This window comes from Homo sapiens, chromosome 8 (assembly GCF_000001405.40).
Source record: "Homo sapiens chromosome 8, GRCh38.p14 Primary Assembly".
Classification (NCBI taxonomy): Eukaryota; Metazoa; Chordata; class Mammalia; order Primates; family Hominidae; genus Homo; species Homo sapiens.
The window spans coordinates 116,885,464-116,902,548 of NC_000008.11; the positions used below are offsets into that span (position 1 = coordinate 116,885,464).

The 17,085-nt window shown below is 38.2% G+C and overlaps 2 annotated features.

Annotated features, from left to right (window-relative positions):
• Positions 16,324-16,413: an enhancer, noted in NCBI's record as "active region_27833". NCBI's record gives its function as "activates an Ori minimal core promoter by ATAC-STARR-seq in GM12878 lymphoblastoid cells {active_cell/tissue: GM12878}" and the evidence as "EXISTENCE:reporter gene assay evidence [ECO:0000049][PMID:35858748]".
• Positions 16,464-16,543: an enhancer, noted in NCBI's record as "active region_27834". NCBI's record gives its function as "activates an Ori minimal core promoter by ATAC-STARR-seq in GM12878 lymphoblastoid cells {active_cell/tissue: GM12878}" and the evidence as "EXISTENCE:reporter gene assay evidence [ECO:0000049][PMID:35858748]".

The following is a 17,085-nucleotide window of genomic DNA, read 5'->3' on the forward strand; positions in this document are numbered from 1 at the left end:
TACAGCCTGCAGAACCGTGAGCTAATCTTCTTTTCTTTATTAATTACCCAGTTTCAGGGTATTTCTTTATAGCAATGCAAGAGTGGACTAATACACTTAGTGTAATGTTTTTTAGATTCATCCACATTGCAGCATGTGCAGCATGCTGCTCTAAAATATGTAACATTTTAGTTTCATCCACACTGAAGCATTGTTTTTTCATGGCTGAATAATATTCCATTAAATGGATCTACCACATTTTGTTTATGCATTCATTAATTCATGGACATTTGCGTTGTTTCTACTTTTTATCTACTATGAATAGTGTTGCTAGGAACATTTGTGTACAAAAATTTTTGTTTGACTATCTGTTTTCAGTTCTTTTTGGTATATATCTGGGAGTAAAATTGCTGTATCATATGCCAATTTTATGTTTAACTTATTGCAGAACAGCCAAACTCTTTTCTATAGCGCTGAACCATTTTACATTCCATTAATAATGTATCAGGGCTCCAGTTTTTCACATGCTCACCAACTTTTATTACTTTCTGTTCTTTAAAATTAAATCCATCTCAGGCCAGGTGCGGTGGCTCACGCCTGTAATCCCAGCACTTTGGGAGGCCGAGGTGGGTAGATCACCTGAGGTCTGGAGTTTGAGACCAGCCTGGCCCACATGGTGAAACCCTGTCTCTACTAAAAATACAAAAATTAGCCGGGCATGGTGACACAGCCTGTAGTCCCAGCTATTTGGGAGGCTGAGGCAGGAGAATCACTTGAACCCGGGAGGCGGAGGTTGCAGCCAGCTGAGATTGAGCCACTGCACTCCAGCCTGGATGACAGAGTGAGACTCCATCTCAAAAAAAAAAAAAATATATATATATATATATATATAATATCCATCTCAGTGGATGTAAAATGGTATCTCATTGTGGTTTTAGTGTGCATTTTCCAAATGACTGAATAATGTTGAGCATCTTTTCATGTGCTTATTGGCCGTTTGTATGTCTTCTATAGAAATATGTCTATGCAAGTCCTTTGCCCATTTTTAATTGGGTTGTTAGTCATTTTATTATTGAGATGTATGAGTTTTTAATATGTTTAAAATGTTAGACCCCTATCAGATTCCTTATCAAATATATTATTTGCAAATATTTTCTCCACTATTAGTCATTCTTGAGAAAGAATAGCACAAACTTAAAAAATTTAAATATTCTGAATTCAATTGTGTGGGTTGAAAGTATATAGGTTAAAAGAGTAGTTTGTCTATATGCTCACTGTTAGTAGAAGTAAAAAATATTTCAAACTCTTGAGCTGTAAGCAACAGTGGAGTCTACTTCTGGTATCCAAACACTTCCCCAAACATTAAAGCATTTAGATGTACAATTTAATTCTCAGGCTGATCTTCAAAATCATGTCTTGGAGACACAATTAAAATACATGTTAATTGGTTTAAGGAAGTCTACCCTAATAGAAGTTCAATTTCTTTGAGACTTTTCTGATTTTTGGATCTTTGCAAAATAATATATGATAATTAATTAATGTGCTAGATTATTTGGCCTTACATGCCTGACATTCCACCATATAAGTTAATTTAGTTTAGAATGCAGTAAGCTCCTGACATTTGTGACAAAAAAGAAACCCCATGCAGAATTCCTATGAACCTCCTAGAAATGTTGTGTCAGTCAGGGTACAGTCAGGAGATAGAAACTACTCAGTAACTTGAATGGAATATTTCAAATATAAAGAATTATTATAATGAACTAAGAATTAATTAATAATAGGATTAACTAAGAAGCAATAAGGAGAACGCTACAGAATACAATAGTAGCAGATATTGGAAGTAACTATTACCTCTGTAGCTGAGGCCAAGTACCCATTGAGGGAAAAGACTTCCAAGGAGGCCAACATTGAGATCTAAACTCCTATATGGAGATGGTGTGGCCCAGTTCATGGCAGATAAATTTGCTGAGGTCCCAAAGGTCAGGGGTGGCTGGAAACTGCCTGTTGGGGTTACCAGTGAACTAACTGGGAATCAGGCCTCTGGAATGCTGGTGAAACTCACTGGAAAGCCACCCTCTAAGGAGCTAACAAGACTTTACAGGGGTGCTGGCAAAACTTGCTGGAGCATGAATGCCACTGGGTGTTCCACACACTGCTAGCTGTCAAGTGCTATGGGAGCAAAAAGGCACACAAAAATCAGGAAAAGTCCCTTCCTCCTGCAATGTCCCTCTTCTGCCCTCTGTTGACAAAGCCTAACATTGCACCCTCTGACAAAAGAGAAACCTTTACGTAGTCCAGCTCCTGTATCACAAAGCAAGACAAAGGTTAATCTGGAACTGGGATGCTATAAATTGATAAGTGGCACAGATAGTGATTTGTGATTCTTTGAGGGAATAATCCAGCAAAAAGATGGTTTATGAGGAAAGTTTCAGAAGTGGTTATTTACACAGGGTAGCAGTGTGATTACTTAGAAGACAAAAGCTTAATAATGGCTAAACCAGAAAACCTGGTTTAAATTAAACAATTAAAATTATTTTAATTTCAATGATCTAATTAAAATAAAAAACAGATAAACAGATATGTTGAGGATAATCTGAATCTATGAGCCAAAAAATCTCCAAAGCAGAGAATTCTCTTAAAGCAGATCCCAAAGACAAGGTCAAAGGTAGGTCCTATACTATCAAGTGAGAATTGATACCACATGTCCTAGGTAAGTTGTTCTATGAAATGACGAATTGCAGATATAAGCAAGCAAGTGACTTTATTTGCTTGTTTTGTTTTGGGCTGCTGTGGTGAAGGAGCCATCAAATCAGAGTGGGTATATTTTTGAGGATCTTGAAAAAATAAAAATTCCTCCTTTTAGAAGTACATCAATAGAAGTACATAAGTTAGGTGCTGCATTCACTGCTATTACTAAAAAAAGAAAAGAAGAGAAAAAGAAATACATCTGTTAGGAATGCTTTTTGCTGTGTGTAATAAATGACCTGAATAACAGAGATTTCAGAAATAAAGAATAAACACTTTTTTTTTTCTTTTGAGATGGAGTCTCACTGTGTTGCCCAGGCTAGAGTGCAGTGGCATGATCTTGGCTCACTGCAGCCTCCAACTTATGGGTTCAAGTGATTCTCCTGCCTCAGCCTTCCCAGTAGCTGGGACTATAGGTGCACACCACCACACCCGGCTAATTTTCGTATTTTTAGTAGAGACAGGGTTTTGCCATATTGGCCAGGCTTATCTTGAACTCCTGACCTCAGATGATCTGCTGCCTTGGCCTCCCAAAGTGCTGGGATTACAGGTGTGAGCCACTGCGTGGACTAAAAACAGTTAATAATCTCATATAACAAATGATCCAGAGGAAGCAGTTCCTTGATTTCTTCAAAGACCCACCTCTTTTGCATCTTTCTGCTCCAGTATCCTTAGACTACTGTCTTGTTGCTTCATGGACAGAACTTGGTGTTTCTCGTTCTTTCACCATTTAGACAAGAAGAAGGAAGAAAGGAGTTAATATGTGCATCTGCATTTATGAGTATCAAGCTGTTTGACAGATATTAATTGAACAATCATGTGTGTGTGTGTGTGGGGGGGCAGTGTGTCTGGCTGTGGAATTTAATAATTAGTCAAAGCATGTACAATTTTGGCCCTTTAGCAAATCTTACAGATCCAAACATGAGACTTCGTCCTAGAAATTTCTTTTTCACCTTATACATGCCTGATTACACAGAGGGTCATTCCCCAACCCCTGCACACTCATAGCAATTCTTCTGCTCTGAATCTTCCTGGTGCATTCTGGGAGTTATCCTACTTATTTATACTTACTACATAATATATTGAGGATGACATTTTATGTAACAGATTTTTTTCTGGTGCCATAATTCTCTAATATAAAATCCTTAAAAACATAATATATATTGGTAACAAAGATTTTATTCTCTTTCTCTAGTCTCCCTCTCTGCTAAATCTAATAAATGATTAAATAATAGGAAACTGCAGTTCTTAAAGGGCAGTCTCTTTGTTGTTAGGATCTGATTTCCATTTGAGCAGTGGAAGATTTAATGTTGCAATTGCAAAGAGAGAATCTCTCTTTTATTAACTTTTATACAATTTCTCATTATCTAATTTATAACTTTGAAGGGACTATTCATTCCTTCTGTACTTTTTTGGACCACTTTTTAAAAACTTATGAAATAACTCTTTAAATAAATAGAAAAAACACAGGGTCAAGTGCAGTGGCTCATGCCTGTAATCCCAGCACTTTGAAAGGCTGAGGCTGAGGCTGGTGGATCACTTAAGCTCAGGAGATCGAGACCAGCCTGGGCAATGTGGCAAAACCCCATCTCCACCAAAAATACAAAATGAACAAACAAATAGCCGGTTGTGGTGGTGCATGCCTGTGGTCCCAGCTACTCAGGAGGCTGAGGTGGAAGGATTGCTTGAGCCTGGGAGGCAGAGGCTATAGTGAGCTGAGATTGCACTCACAATGAAACAGTGTGATAAAAGTACAAAAAATTAACCCATGTATTGTTTAATAACTTTGCATTGCTAACTTTCAAATATTTCTGAAAGAAAACATATCGGGCCTATTCATCCTCTGCTCTCTCCAACTTCATTTGCTTTCTACATTGTGAAATCTCCTGTTTCCAGATTTAGTTCTTCAGAGAAGCAGCCTGTCCTTGGCTTGTCTGTTTGATGTTATGTAAATAATGGATAGAATTTTCCCTGTCCATGTTTTTTCTGAGATGGTTTTCTCAAAAAAATTTCCATTTCAAAAGCAAACTCCACAAATACACAAAAAATAACTAAACATGGAAAGAGGTTTAGTTGCCTTAGATTGTGCAAAAGACTAGAAGTAACCGCCAGATTCTCAGCCCCTGATTGTCCCAAATCACACGTCATCAACTGACTAACCAGAAAAGGAAAACAAGCCAGTTGCAGATGAAAGAAGATTTGATTCTAATACAGATTGTAAACCCACAATGACTGTTTTATAAGCAAAGAGTCACTTTTGTGACTGAATTTGAGTTTTCCACTGCAATGTTTCTTGAAAATTCCTAAAATATCATACATTATACATTATGCCAAACACTCAACTATTGAGCGGCAAGATTTTATTGTTTTTGGGAACACTCTTAACAGGCATTGGTAGGAAATGCAAAGAATTCCAGAAACAGAGCTGGACTGGAAAGAACACATTTATCATTAGTTCCATAAATCTATGTTTCTTAGGATTAGAAGAGGAATTTCTTGGACTGAGTAGGTTTTAAATATTCTGAGCCATTGGCAGAGGGAGCTAGGATTGTTCTGTGATGTTGTGAAATACATATTTGATCTTCATTCCATTTCCTGGAGTACAGCTCCTAAAATCCTTGGAATCTCCTGAGTGATAAGAGTTTTTTTTCTTTGTATGTTACTGAGATAACAGTGGCTAAGAGCACCTAGGTAGTTTCAGGATGGGGGTCACTGGAAAGACCAAGGCATGATTAGAGAGTTGGGAGTTTCAGCCTCCCCAACCCTACTCCCCAATCCCTGCAAGCAGCAGAGAAAGGCTGAAGGTTAAGTTGATCACCAATGGCTAATAATGTAATCAATCATGCCTATGTAATGAAGCCTCCATAAAAACCCAAAAGAATAGTGTTCAGAAAGGCTTCTGGATTGCTGAACACGTGGAGGTGTCTGGAGGGTGATATGCCCACAGAGGGCATGGAAATTTCACTTTCCTTTCCACATACATTGCCCTATGAATGTACTCTGTCTGGCTATTCATCCATATCTTTTGTAATATCTTACAGTTCATTTTGTTTGTGGGATCATATAAACTTGGGCTTGACTTATTGTTGTCATTTTATTTTCCTGATACTTTGTTTTCTTGTTGTGAAATGGGGATACAATACTTTATTAGTTGGGGCTCAGTTGTAGGTGACAGGAAACATTAGGATAATCAGAAAAGAAAGAGGTTAATCATGGGGAAGAGCTGGTTTTAGGCTATGTCTCTGGGATTGACTTCCAGAATGTCAACCAAGAACCAGCTCACCAAAGAAAGGGCTACCTCTGCAACCTTCAGAAAGCTGGGGAGTCAGGAAGACACTATCCCAAACTCTTGATTCCAGCGTCAGACCACCTTAGCTATGAACTGGAGTAAGAAGCTGCCACCAGCATTATAGACTCAGAGTCACATGGTGCATACAAATCCATTCAAGCAAAATGTATGTCACTGGCATCCCTACTTTCCTTCCTTTTATTTACTGATTAATGCAATACATATTTACTGAATTGTAGTAAAGAAGTAAAATATGTAATACATTAGAAAGAGATAAACGTAATACATTAGAAAGGGATAAATGCAATGACGAAAAGTAGTGTAGGAAATGGGATTACAGAAAATTGACAGCATCGGCCTTAGTCTGTTCGTGTTGCTATAAAGGAATACCCGAGGCTTGATAATTTATATATTTAAAAAAGAGGTTTATTTGGCTCATGGTTCTGCAGGTTGTACAAGAAGCATGATGTCAGCATTTACTTTTGGTGAGAGTTTCAGACTACTTCCACTTGTGGCAGAAGGAGAAGTGGAGCTGGCATGTACAGAGATCACATGGTGAGAAAAAAAGTGAGAGAGAAAGAAGGAGGTGTCAGGCTCTTTTTAACAACCAGCTGTTGTAGGAACTAATAGAGCGAGAACTCACTCATTACCTAGAACTCACTCATTACCTCAAGGATGGCACCAAGCCATTCATGATGGATCCACCTCCATGACTCAAACCCCTCCCACTAGGCCCCACCCTGAACATTGGGGATTATATTTCAACATGAGGTTTAGAGAGGTCAAGTATCCAAACCATAGCAGAGTCAAAGAAGACCTCCTTCAGAAGGTGATATTTATGTGAATATCTGAAGAAGGTGAGAGGACGAACCATGTGAGTCTTTAGGGGAGAAGTGTCCAGGAGAGGGAGGAGAAAATGCAAAGGCTCTGAGACAGGAGATTCCCTGGAAGGCAAGCAAAAGCAAAGAGGCCAGCATGGAAGGAGTGGAGTGAGTGAGGGAATGAGCCTGCTGTCAGAAATTCACATTGATTTCAAAGTAGAAATTTCCTAAGTAACTATTGCTTGGTTTTCTATATAGACAGTGTATAAGTATTTTAAACTAAAATATTCAAAGATTTTGATATAATTTAAATGAATATATGCTCCTTTAAATGAAAGGACAGAGCTACCAATATCACTATATTTGAAGCTACTGTTATTTTAAATAATAATCCGTGCTATTAACAATGTCATTATCTGGTTTGGTTTTTCTTTTTCCTCTTTTGGAGACAGGGTCTCACTCTGTTGCTCAGGTTGGAGTGCAGTGGCATAATCATGGCTCACTACAACCTCCACCTCCCTCCCACCTCAGCCTCCCAAATAGCTGGGACTACAGGCACATGTTACCACACCCAGATAGTATTTTTTGTATTTTTTTTTATAGAGACAGGGTTTTGTCATATTACCCAGGGTGGTCTTGAACTCTTGAGCTCAAGCAATCCACCTGCTTTAGCCTCCTGAAGTGCTGGGATTACAGGCATGAGTCACCATGCCTGGCCTTTTTTCCTTTTTTTATAAGACTTTTTTTAATCATAAAAAAAAGTCTGTCTTTGATGTGACTTTTTCATGTAGAATTAATGAGTTACATGATTGACTTCTACCTTTTGAAAGATTCTTACAGGCTTCATTTTTATAATAGCACAGTTATAATAGCTGAAAAAAATCTGAGTATAGCTTGTCAGATTCATCACTGAAATATGTTTTAAGGGTGCGGAATAATAAGTAGGCTGGCTTTGACACACTGCTTTTTTTCAATGGAAGGCTAAAAGTGAGAAAATAAACTCATTTCTGTAGGAGATAGAGATTTACATTTGTTTTCCTTTGACAAAATACTCCATTCTCACACATTATACACCATTTTAAGAAGATTAGTATTTGTCTGAGACAAAGTGATCTTAGACTTTCAGTTTAAATGGTGGCATAGAAGCAAGCTGGTCTTACTACCCCACCTCCTTGCCAGAAAACCAAAAACAAATATACAGCAACAACCCAGAATCAAATATGAGGATGAGACAGATCCTGGGGACACAGAGAAATGAGAGTACTTTGAGCAGATGGTGGGAGAATCAGACTTTCACATCCATGACACCCCATCCCCCCATTCTGCCTGGCAACTAGCACCTGGAAAATCTTCTCCAACTCATGGTTTCTACAAGGGAAGGAGTGAGATTGAGATGGCCAACCAGCTTTTCTACCATCTTGGATATCTTGGGAGGAGACCTGTTATTGTCTTAACCCAAGGGAAGCACTGTGGCTGCCTGAAGGGAGAAACTTCACAGAGGACAGGTGAAGACAAAGGAGGGAAGTGGAACTACCACCCCCAGCCCTGGAAACTCTGCTCTGCAACTTGGCAAAAGAAGACATCAAATCAGAATGGTTGTTCAGGAGCATCACACCATAGAAGGTACGTTTCATAGTTTCCTTGGGTGTAAACTCCTAGCTAGCCTTCTAACAGTGCCAGGTCCCTTTAGGACCTCACCCATTCAAAACGGACATCACTCTGATCATTTACCAAAGCCAAGGTGAACCTGGACTTAAGACACACCTAGGGCCAAAAAGAAGGCTGCAACATAGTGGTAAAGATTTTCTAGGCAAATATATCCACTAAAAAAACAAAACAAGCCTGTCAGAGGAAATTTGAAAAAATAATTAATCCTTCAATACAAAGGCATAGATGTATCCAGGAGGGAATGGAATGACATTTTCAAAGTGTTCAAAGAAAAGAAAATCTGCCATCCAAGAATATTGTGCCCAGCCAAATTATTCTTCAACTATGAAAGAGAGATAAAGTCTTTCCCAGACAAGCAAAAGTTGAGAGAATTCACCACCAGCAGATCTGTCTTACAAGAAATGCTGAAGGGAGATCTTCAGTCTGAAATAGAAAAAAAAATAATGCACAAAAAGAAAACTTTTCAAGGTGTAAAACCCACTGGTAGAATTAAGTACGTAGACAAACCAAGAATACTCTATTCCTATAATGGTGGTGTGCAATCTACTCACAACTCTGATAATAAAGCCCAAAAGACAAATCTGTCAAAAACAATAATAGCTACAGCAACTTATTAAAAGATATGGAATGTAAAAAATGTAAATTGAGACAACTAAAACTCAAAATATGAGGGTGATAGAGTTAAAGTGTAGATTTTTTCGTATGTGTGTTTTTTGCCTTTATTTCTGGTCTTTATTGTGTGATCTAAGGTAAATGTCATCTGTTTAAAATAACTTGTGATATCTATGGTTTTTTTTTGTAAGCCTCATGGTAACCATGCAAAAACCTATAATAGATTCACCAAAAATAAAAATGAAGAAATTAAAACATACTACCAGGGAAAATCACTTAAACATGGAAAAAAAAAAAGACTGAGAAAGGAAGACAGTAGTCTCAAAACAACCAGAAAATAGGCAATAAAATGGCAGTAGTAAGTCCTTACTTATCAATAACACTGACTATAAATGGTCTCAATTCTCCAATTAAAAGTCATAAAGTGACTGAATTGATAAAGAAACAAGACCCAACTATATGCTGCCTTCAAGAAACTCACTTCACCTATAAAGGCACACATAAGCTGAAAGTGAAGGGGTGGAAAAAATATTCCATGCAACTGGAAACCAATAAAAAGCAAAAGTAGCTACACTTATAACAGATAAACTAGAGTAAAAAGCTAAGGTTATAAAAAATCACGAAGAAGTTCACTATATAATGATAAAGGAGTCAATTTGGCAAGAGGATATAAAAATTATAAATATCTATGCACCTAACATCAGAGCTTCCAAGTATATAAAGCAGATATTAATAGATCTAAAGGAAGAGATACACTGCTGTATAATAATAATAGGATATTTAACATCTCACTCTCAGTAATGGACAGATCATCCAGACAGAAAATCAACAAAGAAGCACCATGGTTAAACTATATACCAGATCAAATAGGCCTGACTGAAATTTATAGAACATTTCACCCAACTGCTACAGAATACACATTCTTCTCATCAGCACATGGCACATCCTCCAGGATAGACCATATGTTAGGACACAACGCAAGTCTGAACAAATTAAAAAATATGTAAATTGTATCAAGTGTTTTTTTCTGACCATAATGAAATAAAACTAGAAATCAGTAGCAAGAGGGACCTCAGAAAATACAAAAACACATGAAAATTAAACAACATGCTCCTGAAAAACCAATGGGTCAATGAGGAAATTAAGAAGGAAATTTTTTAAATTTCTCAAAGCCAATAAAAATGGAAATACAACATATCAAAATCTGTGGGATACATCAAAAACAGTCCTAAGGGAGAAGTTTATGGCGATAAATACATTTATCAAAAAGTAGGAAGTCTTCAAATACACAACCTAACAGTGCACCTGAAGAAACTGGAAAAGCAAGAAGAAACCAAGCCCAAAATCAGTAGAAGGAAATAAATAATGAAGATCAGAGCCAAAATAAATAAAATTGAGACAAAATTTACAGAAGATAGATGAAACAAGAAGTTAGTTTTTTGAAAAGGAAATTGACTAACCTTTAGCTAGACTGAGAAAAAAAGAAGACCTAAATAAATAAATTCAGTAATGAAAAAGGAGACATAATAAATGAGACTTCAGAAATACAAAGAATCTGTGGACAGTATTATGAACAACTATATACCAACAAATTGGAAAACCCAGAAGAAATGGACAAATATCTGGACATGTACAATTGATGAATATTGAACTACGAAGAAATAGAAAACCTCAACAAACCAGTATTGAGTAATGAGATCAAAGGCATAATAAAAAACCTCTCATCAATAAAAATTTCAAGACCTGATGGCTTCACTGCTGAATTTTGCCAAACATTTAAAGATAATAAACTAACACCAATTCTACTCAAACTCTTCAAAAAAACTGAAGAGGAAGGAACACTTCCAGACTCATTCTATGAGGCCAGCATTATGCTGAAACCAAAACCAGACAAGTACACAAGAAGAAAAAAATAAAATTACAGGCCAATATCACTGATGAACATAAATGCACAAAATCCTGAACAAAATACTAGCAAAACAATTTCAACAACAATCAAAAAGATCATTCATCTTGATCAAGTGGGATTATTCTAGGGATGCAAGGATGGCTCAACATATGCAAACTAATAAGTGTGACACATCACATTCACAGAATCAAGAACAAAAACCGTATGGTTATTTCAATAGATGCCAAAAAAGCATGTGATAAAATTCAGCATTCTTTATGATGAAAATCCTCATCAGAATGGGTATAAAAGGAACACACCTTAAAATAATAAAGGCCATATATGACAAACCCATGGCTAACATTGTACTGAATGGAGAAACATTGAAGGCCTTTCCTCTAAGGAATGGAACAAACACAAGGATGCCCACTTTCACCACTTTTTTTCAACATAACACTGGAAGTCTTGACTGGAATGACTAGGCAAAAAAAAAAAAAAAAAAAAATCAGTAAATTTGCAGGATACAAAATTAACATATAAAAATCAGCAGCATTTATATATACAAATAGTAAACAATCTGAAAAAGATATTAGGAAGGTAATTGCATTTACAATAGCTACAAAAATATCAAATACCTAGGAATCAATCTAACCAAAGAAGTGCAAGGTCAATACAAGGAAAACTATAAAATTCTGAAAAGAAATGAAATTAATATAATAATTAATATTGTTAAATTGACAATAATACCCAAAGCAATGCACAGATTCAATGCAATCCATATCAAAATACCAATGACATTCTTCACAGAGACAGAAAAAAAAATTCTATAATGTATCTGGAACCACAAAAGACCCTCAATAGCCAAGGTAATACTGAGCAAAAAGAACAAAACTGAAGGTATCACACTACCTGATTTCAAAGCTTACTATAAATTTATAGTAACAAAAACATCATGGTACTCACATAAAAATAGATACATACAACAACGGAACAGAATAGAGAATCCAGATATAGATACACACATTTACAGCCAACTCATCTTTGATAAAGGCACCAAGAAATAAAATGGAGAAGGGACAGTCTTTTCAGTAAGTAGTGCTAGAAAACTGGATATCCATATGCAGAAGAATTAAACTAGACCTCTATCTCTCACTATATGCAAAAATTCAGTCAATATGGATTAAACACTTAAATCTAAGACCTAAAACCATGAAACTACTAGAAAGAAACATTGGGGGAAAATCTCCAGGACACTGGCCTGGGCAAAGGTTTACTCTGTAAGATCTCAAAAGCACAAGTAACCAAAGCAAAAATAGACAAATGGGATTACATCAAGCTACAAGGCTTCTGCACAGCAGAGGAAACAATCAACAAAGTGAAGAGACAACTTACAGAATGGGAGAAAATATTTGCACACTATCCATCTGAGAAGGTATTAATAACCAGAACATATAAGAAGCTCAAACTATTTAATAGCAAAAAAATTAATTAAAAATGGGCAAAAGATTGGTATTAACATTTCTCAAAAGAAGACATACAAATGGCCAACAGTTACATGAAAAAATATTCAGCATTTGATATGGTTTGGCTGTGTCCCCACCAAAATCTCAACTTGAATTGTATCTCCCAGAAGTCCTACGTGTTGTGGGAGAGACCCAAAATACCCAGGGGGAGGTAATTGAATCATGGGGGCTGGTCTTTCCCATGCTATTCTCATGATAGTGAATAAGTCTTGTGAGAACTAATGGGTTTATCAGGGGTTTCTACTTTTGCTTCTTCATTTTTCTCTTGCTGCCACTATGTAAAAAGTGCCTTTTGCCTCCTGCCATGATTCTGAGGCCTCCCAGCCATGTGGAACTGTAAGTCCAATTAAACCTCTTTTTGTTTCCAGTTTTGGGTATGTCTTTATCAGCAGCATGAAAATGAACTAATATGGTAAATTGGTACCAGTAGAGTGGGGCGTTGCTGAAAAGATACCCAAAAATGTGGAAGCGACTTAGGAACTGGGTAACAAGCAGAGGTTGGAACAGTTTGGAGGGCTCAGAAAAAGACAGGAAAATGTGGGAAAGTTTGGAACTTCCTAGAGACTTGCTGAATGGTTTTGATGAAAATGCTGATAGTGACACGAAAAATAAGGTCCAGGCTGAGGTTGTCTCAGATGGAGATGAGGAACTTGTTGGGAACTGGAGCCAAGGTGACTCCTGTTATGTTTTAGCAAAGAGACTGGCAGGGTTTTGCCCCTGCCCTAAAGATTTGTGGAACTTTGAACTTGAGAAAGATGATTTAGGGTATCTGGCGGAAAAAATGTCTAAGCAGCAAAGCATTCAAGATGTGACTTGGGCGCTGTTAAAAGCATTCAGTTTTGAAAGGGAAACAGAGCATAGAAGTTTGGAAAATTTCCAGCCTGACAATGTGATAGAAAAGAAAAACCCATTTTCTGGAGAGAAATTCAAGCCAGCTACAGAAATTTGCATAAGTAGCAAGGAGCCTAATGCTAATCCCCAAGACCATGGGGAAAACGTCTCCAGGTCATGTCACAGACCTTCATGGCAGCCTCTCCCATCACAGGCCCAGAAGCCTAGGAGAAAGAAGTGTTTTTGTGGGCTGGGCCCAGGGCTGCCAAGCTGTGTGCAGCCTAGAGACTTGGTGCCCTGTGTCTCCGCTGCTCTAGTCATGGCTGAAAGAGGCCAATGTACAGCTTGGGCTGTGGGTTCAGAGGGTGGAAGTCCCAAGCCTTGGCAGCCTCCACATGATGTTGAGCCTGTGGGTGCAGAGAAGTCAAGAATTGAGGTTTGGGAACCTCTGCCTAGATTTCAGAAGATGTATGGAAATGTCTGGATGCCCAGGCAAAAGTTTGCTGCAGGGGCAGGGCCCTCATGGAGAACCTCTGCTAGGTCAGTGTGGAAGGGAAATGTGGGGTTGGGGTCCTCACACAGAGTCCCTACTGGGGCACTGACTAGTGGAGCTGTGGGAAGAGGGCCACCATCCTCCAGGTCCCAGAATGGTAGATCCACTGACAGCATGCACCATGCACCTGGAAAAGCCACAGACACTCGACGCCATCCCATGAAAGCAGCCAGAAGGGAGGCTGTACCCTGCAAAGCCACAGGGGTGGAGCTGCCCAAGACCACGGGAACCCACTTCTTGCATCAGCTTGACTAGGATGTGAGACCTAGTCAAAGGAGATCATTTTGCACCTTTAAAATTTGACTGCCTGCTGGATTTGACTTCCCCGCATGGGCCCTGGAACCCCTTGTTTTGGCCAATTTCTCCCATTTGGTATGGCTATATTTACCAATACCTGTACCCCCATTGTATCTAGGAAGTAACTAGCTTGCTTTTGATTTTATAGGCTCATAGGCGAAAGAGACTTGTCTTGTCTCAGATGAGACTTTGGACTGTGGACTTTTGGGTTAATGCTGAAATGAATTAAGACTTTGGGGGACTGTTGAGAAGGCATGATTGGTTTTGAAATGTGAGGACATGAGATTTGGAGAGGCCAGGGGTGGAATGATATGGTTTGGCTGTGTCCCCACCAAAATCTCAACTTGAATTGTATCTCCCAGAAGTTCCACGCATTATGGGAGGGACCCAGGGGGAGGTAATTGAATCATGGGGGCTGGTCTTTCCCATGCTATTCTCATGATAGTCAATAAGTCTCACGAGATCTGATGGATTTATCAGGGGTTTCTGCTTTTCTTTCTTCCTCATTTTTCTCTTGCTGCCACCATGTAAGAAGTGTCTTTTGCCTCCTGCCATGATTCTGAGGCCTCCCCAGTCATGTGGAACTGTAAGTCTAATTAAACCTCTTTTTGTTTCCAGTTTCGGGTGTGTCTTTATCAGCAGTGTGAAAATGAATTAATACATCATCACTAATCATCAGAGAAATGCAAATCAAAATCACAATGAAATATCATCTCATTCCAGTTAAAATGGTTTGTATCAAAAAGGCAATAACAAATGCTGGTAAAGATGTGGAGAAAGGGGAACCCTTGTACACTCTTGGTGGGAATGTAAACTAGTACAGCCAATATAGACAACAGTATGGAGCTTCCGCAAAAACTAAAAACAGAACTACCAGCAATTCTAATACTGAGTATATATACAAGAAAAAGGAGATCAATATATCAAAGAGATATCTGCATTCCCACATTAATTGCAGCACTATTCACAATAGCCAAAATATGGAATCAACCTAAGTGCCAATGGATGGATGAATGAATAAAGAAAATGTAGAATATACACATAATTATTCAGCCATAACAAACAATGAAATCCTGCCATTTGCAACATGGTTGGAACTAGAGGCTATTATGTTAAGTGAAATAAGCCAAGCACAGAAGGACAAATATCACATGTTCTCACTCATATGTGAGAACTAAAAGAGTGGATCTCATGAAGATAGAAGATTGTTGGTTACCAAAGGCCAGGAAGAGTGGGAGGGAGAAGGGTTTGAAGGGAAAAAAAGAATATAAATGGAGCCATTATCACTTAATTGTACACTTAAAAATGGTAAGAATGGTAAATTTTATATGTATATTTTATCTCAATAAAAACCCCACAAAATTGCAAAAATTATTACTTTGTAATTATAAGCATATACTAGCCTAGGGATTAGAAGGAATACATGGTGGTGGGTTGAGGAGAAAACTATGCCAAAGACGTGTCTAAGAGAGCAGTCTTAAAAAAGGATTTCTTAACCTTTGCATTGTCATTAGGGGTGGACAATTTTCTGTTGTGGGATGCTATCTTCCGCCTAGGATGTTTATTAGCAGTAATCCTGGTATTTACGTGCTAGATGCCAGTAACATCTCCCCTCAGCCCTCCACCCCTGCCCTGCCCTGATGTAATAACCAAAAATGTCTCTAGACATTGCTAAATATCTCCTGGGGGCAAAATTATTCAGGGCTGAGAACCACTAAGTTGGAGTCAGAAGAGTGAAACAATTTTAAAAATTAGCTGGGTGTGGTGGTGCATGTCTGTAGTTCCAGCTACTCAGCATTGCTTGAGCCCAGTAGTTTGAGGCTAGACTTGGCAACAGCTCTGCATGCTGTATAGAGGTAGAGACCCTGAAAAAAGAAAGAATGAAAGAACGAAAGAAAGCAAGAAAGAAAGAAAAAAGAAAAAAATTGATCTAATCTTGAAATGTGAAGGAGACATCTCACTGCACAGAAACATAGAGAACAACTGTTTGTAATAATTATTAGTTTAATATATATTTTCTTTGCTAGATTGTAAGATGCACGAGGACAGAGACTGTAACTCTTATTTTTATAATCAGATCATAATCTGAAAGTTAGTCGACAGGTGTTTATTGCATTGCTATGGGTCTATCAATGGGTTATGTGCATTTGAGGCAGGATAGGTAGTCAAGGAAGTGACCATGTTGCCAGGACGCAGTGATCGTGGTGGCCATACAACCAACACAGGCCTCAGCGTTCGCAGTATAATTGAGCTCATTCAAGCAAAGCTATCTGCGGTGGGGACTTTTCCTTCTAGAGAGCATGTGCACTTGGATTTTACCAGTCCTCAAATTGGCGCTTTGCTCATTTCAATAGTGAAAAATACACTCCTGGGTGGAGATTTCAGATGCTAATGAGACACACGATGCATGAACAAGCATGTGCAGCTACTGTGCATGTGCACCCAGAGGACCACCCAGAACATACCTACTAGTAACGCCTCTTCCCACCTTCTTATGAATTATTATGTAAAACTCCCATAAAGGGAGTCTCCCTAGTGCCAGTCTTTGCTGGCTCATCCTTATGGGCAGCCCACCCTGAATCCTCTCTCTCTCAGGGTGTCCTGTCTATTCTGTACCTACCTTTCAAAATATTCTTTTTCTTTTGCAATAAATCACTGTATGCTGCACCTTCTTTGCCAGGTGCTCTTATTTAAATTCTTTTAAACTAAGGAGACAAGAACTGAGGTCTCACAGAAACCATCAATATTTTGGAAATAAAAGAGAGGATTTAGAACTGAGTCTGTTCTTAAAGTGCTTCATGGCTTATTTTCTAATTGCTTACTATACAGTAGCTCTTTTCTGTGCTACTAGATAACAAAACCTATAGTACTAAAAACCA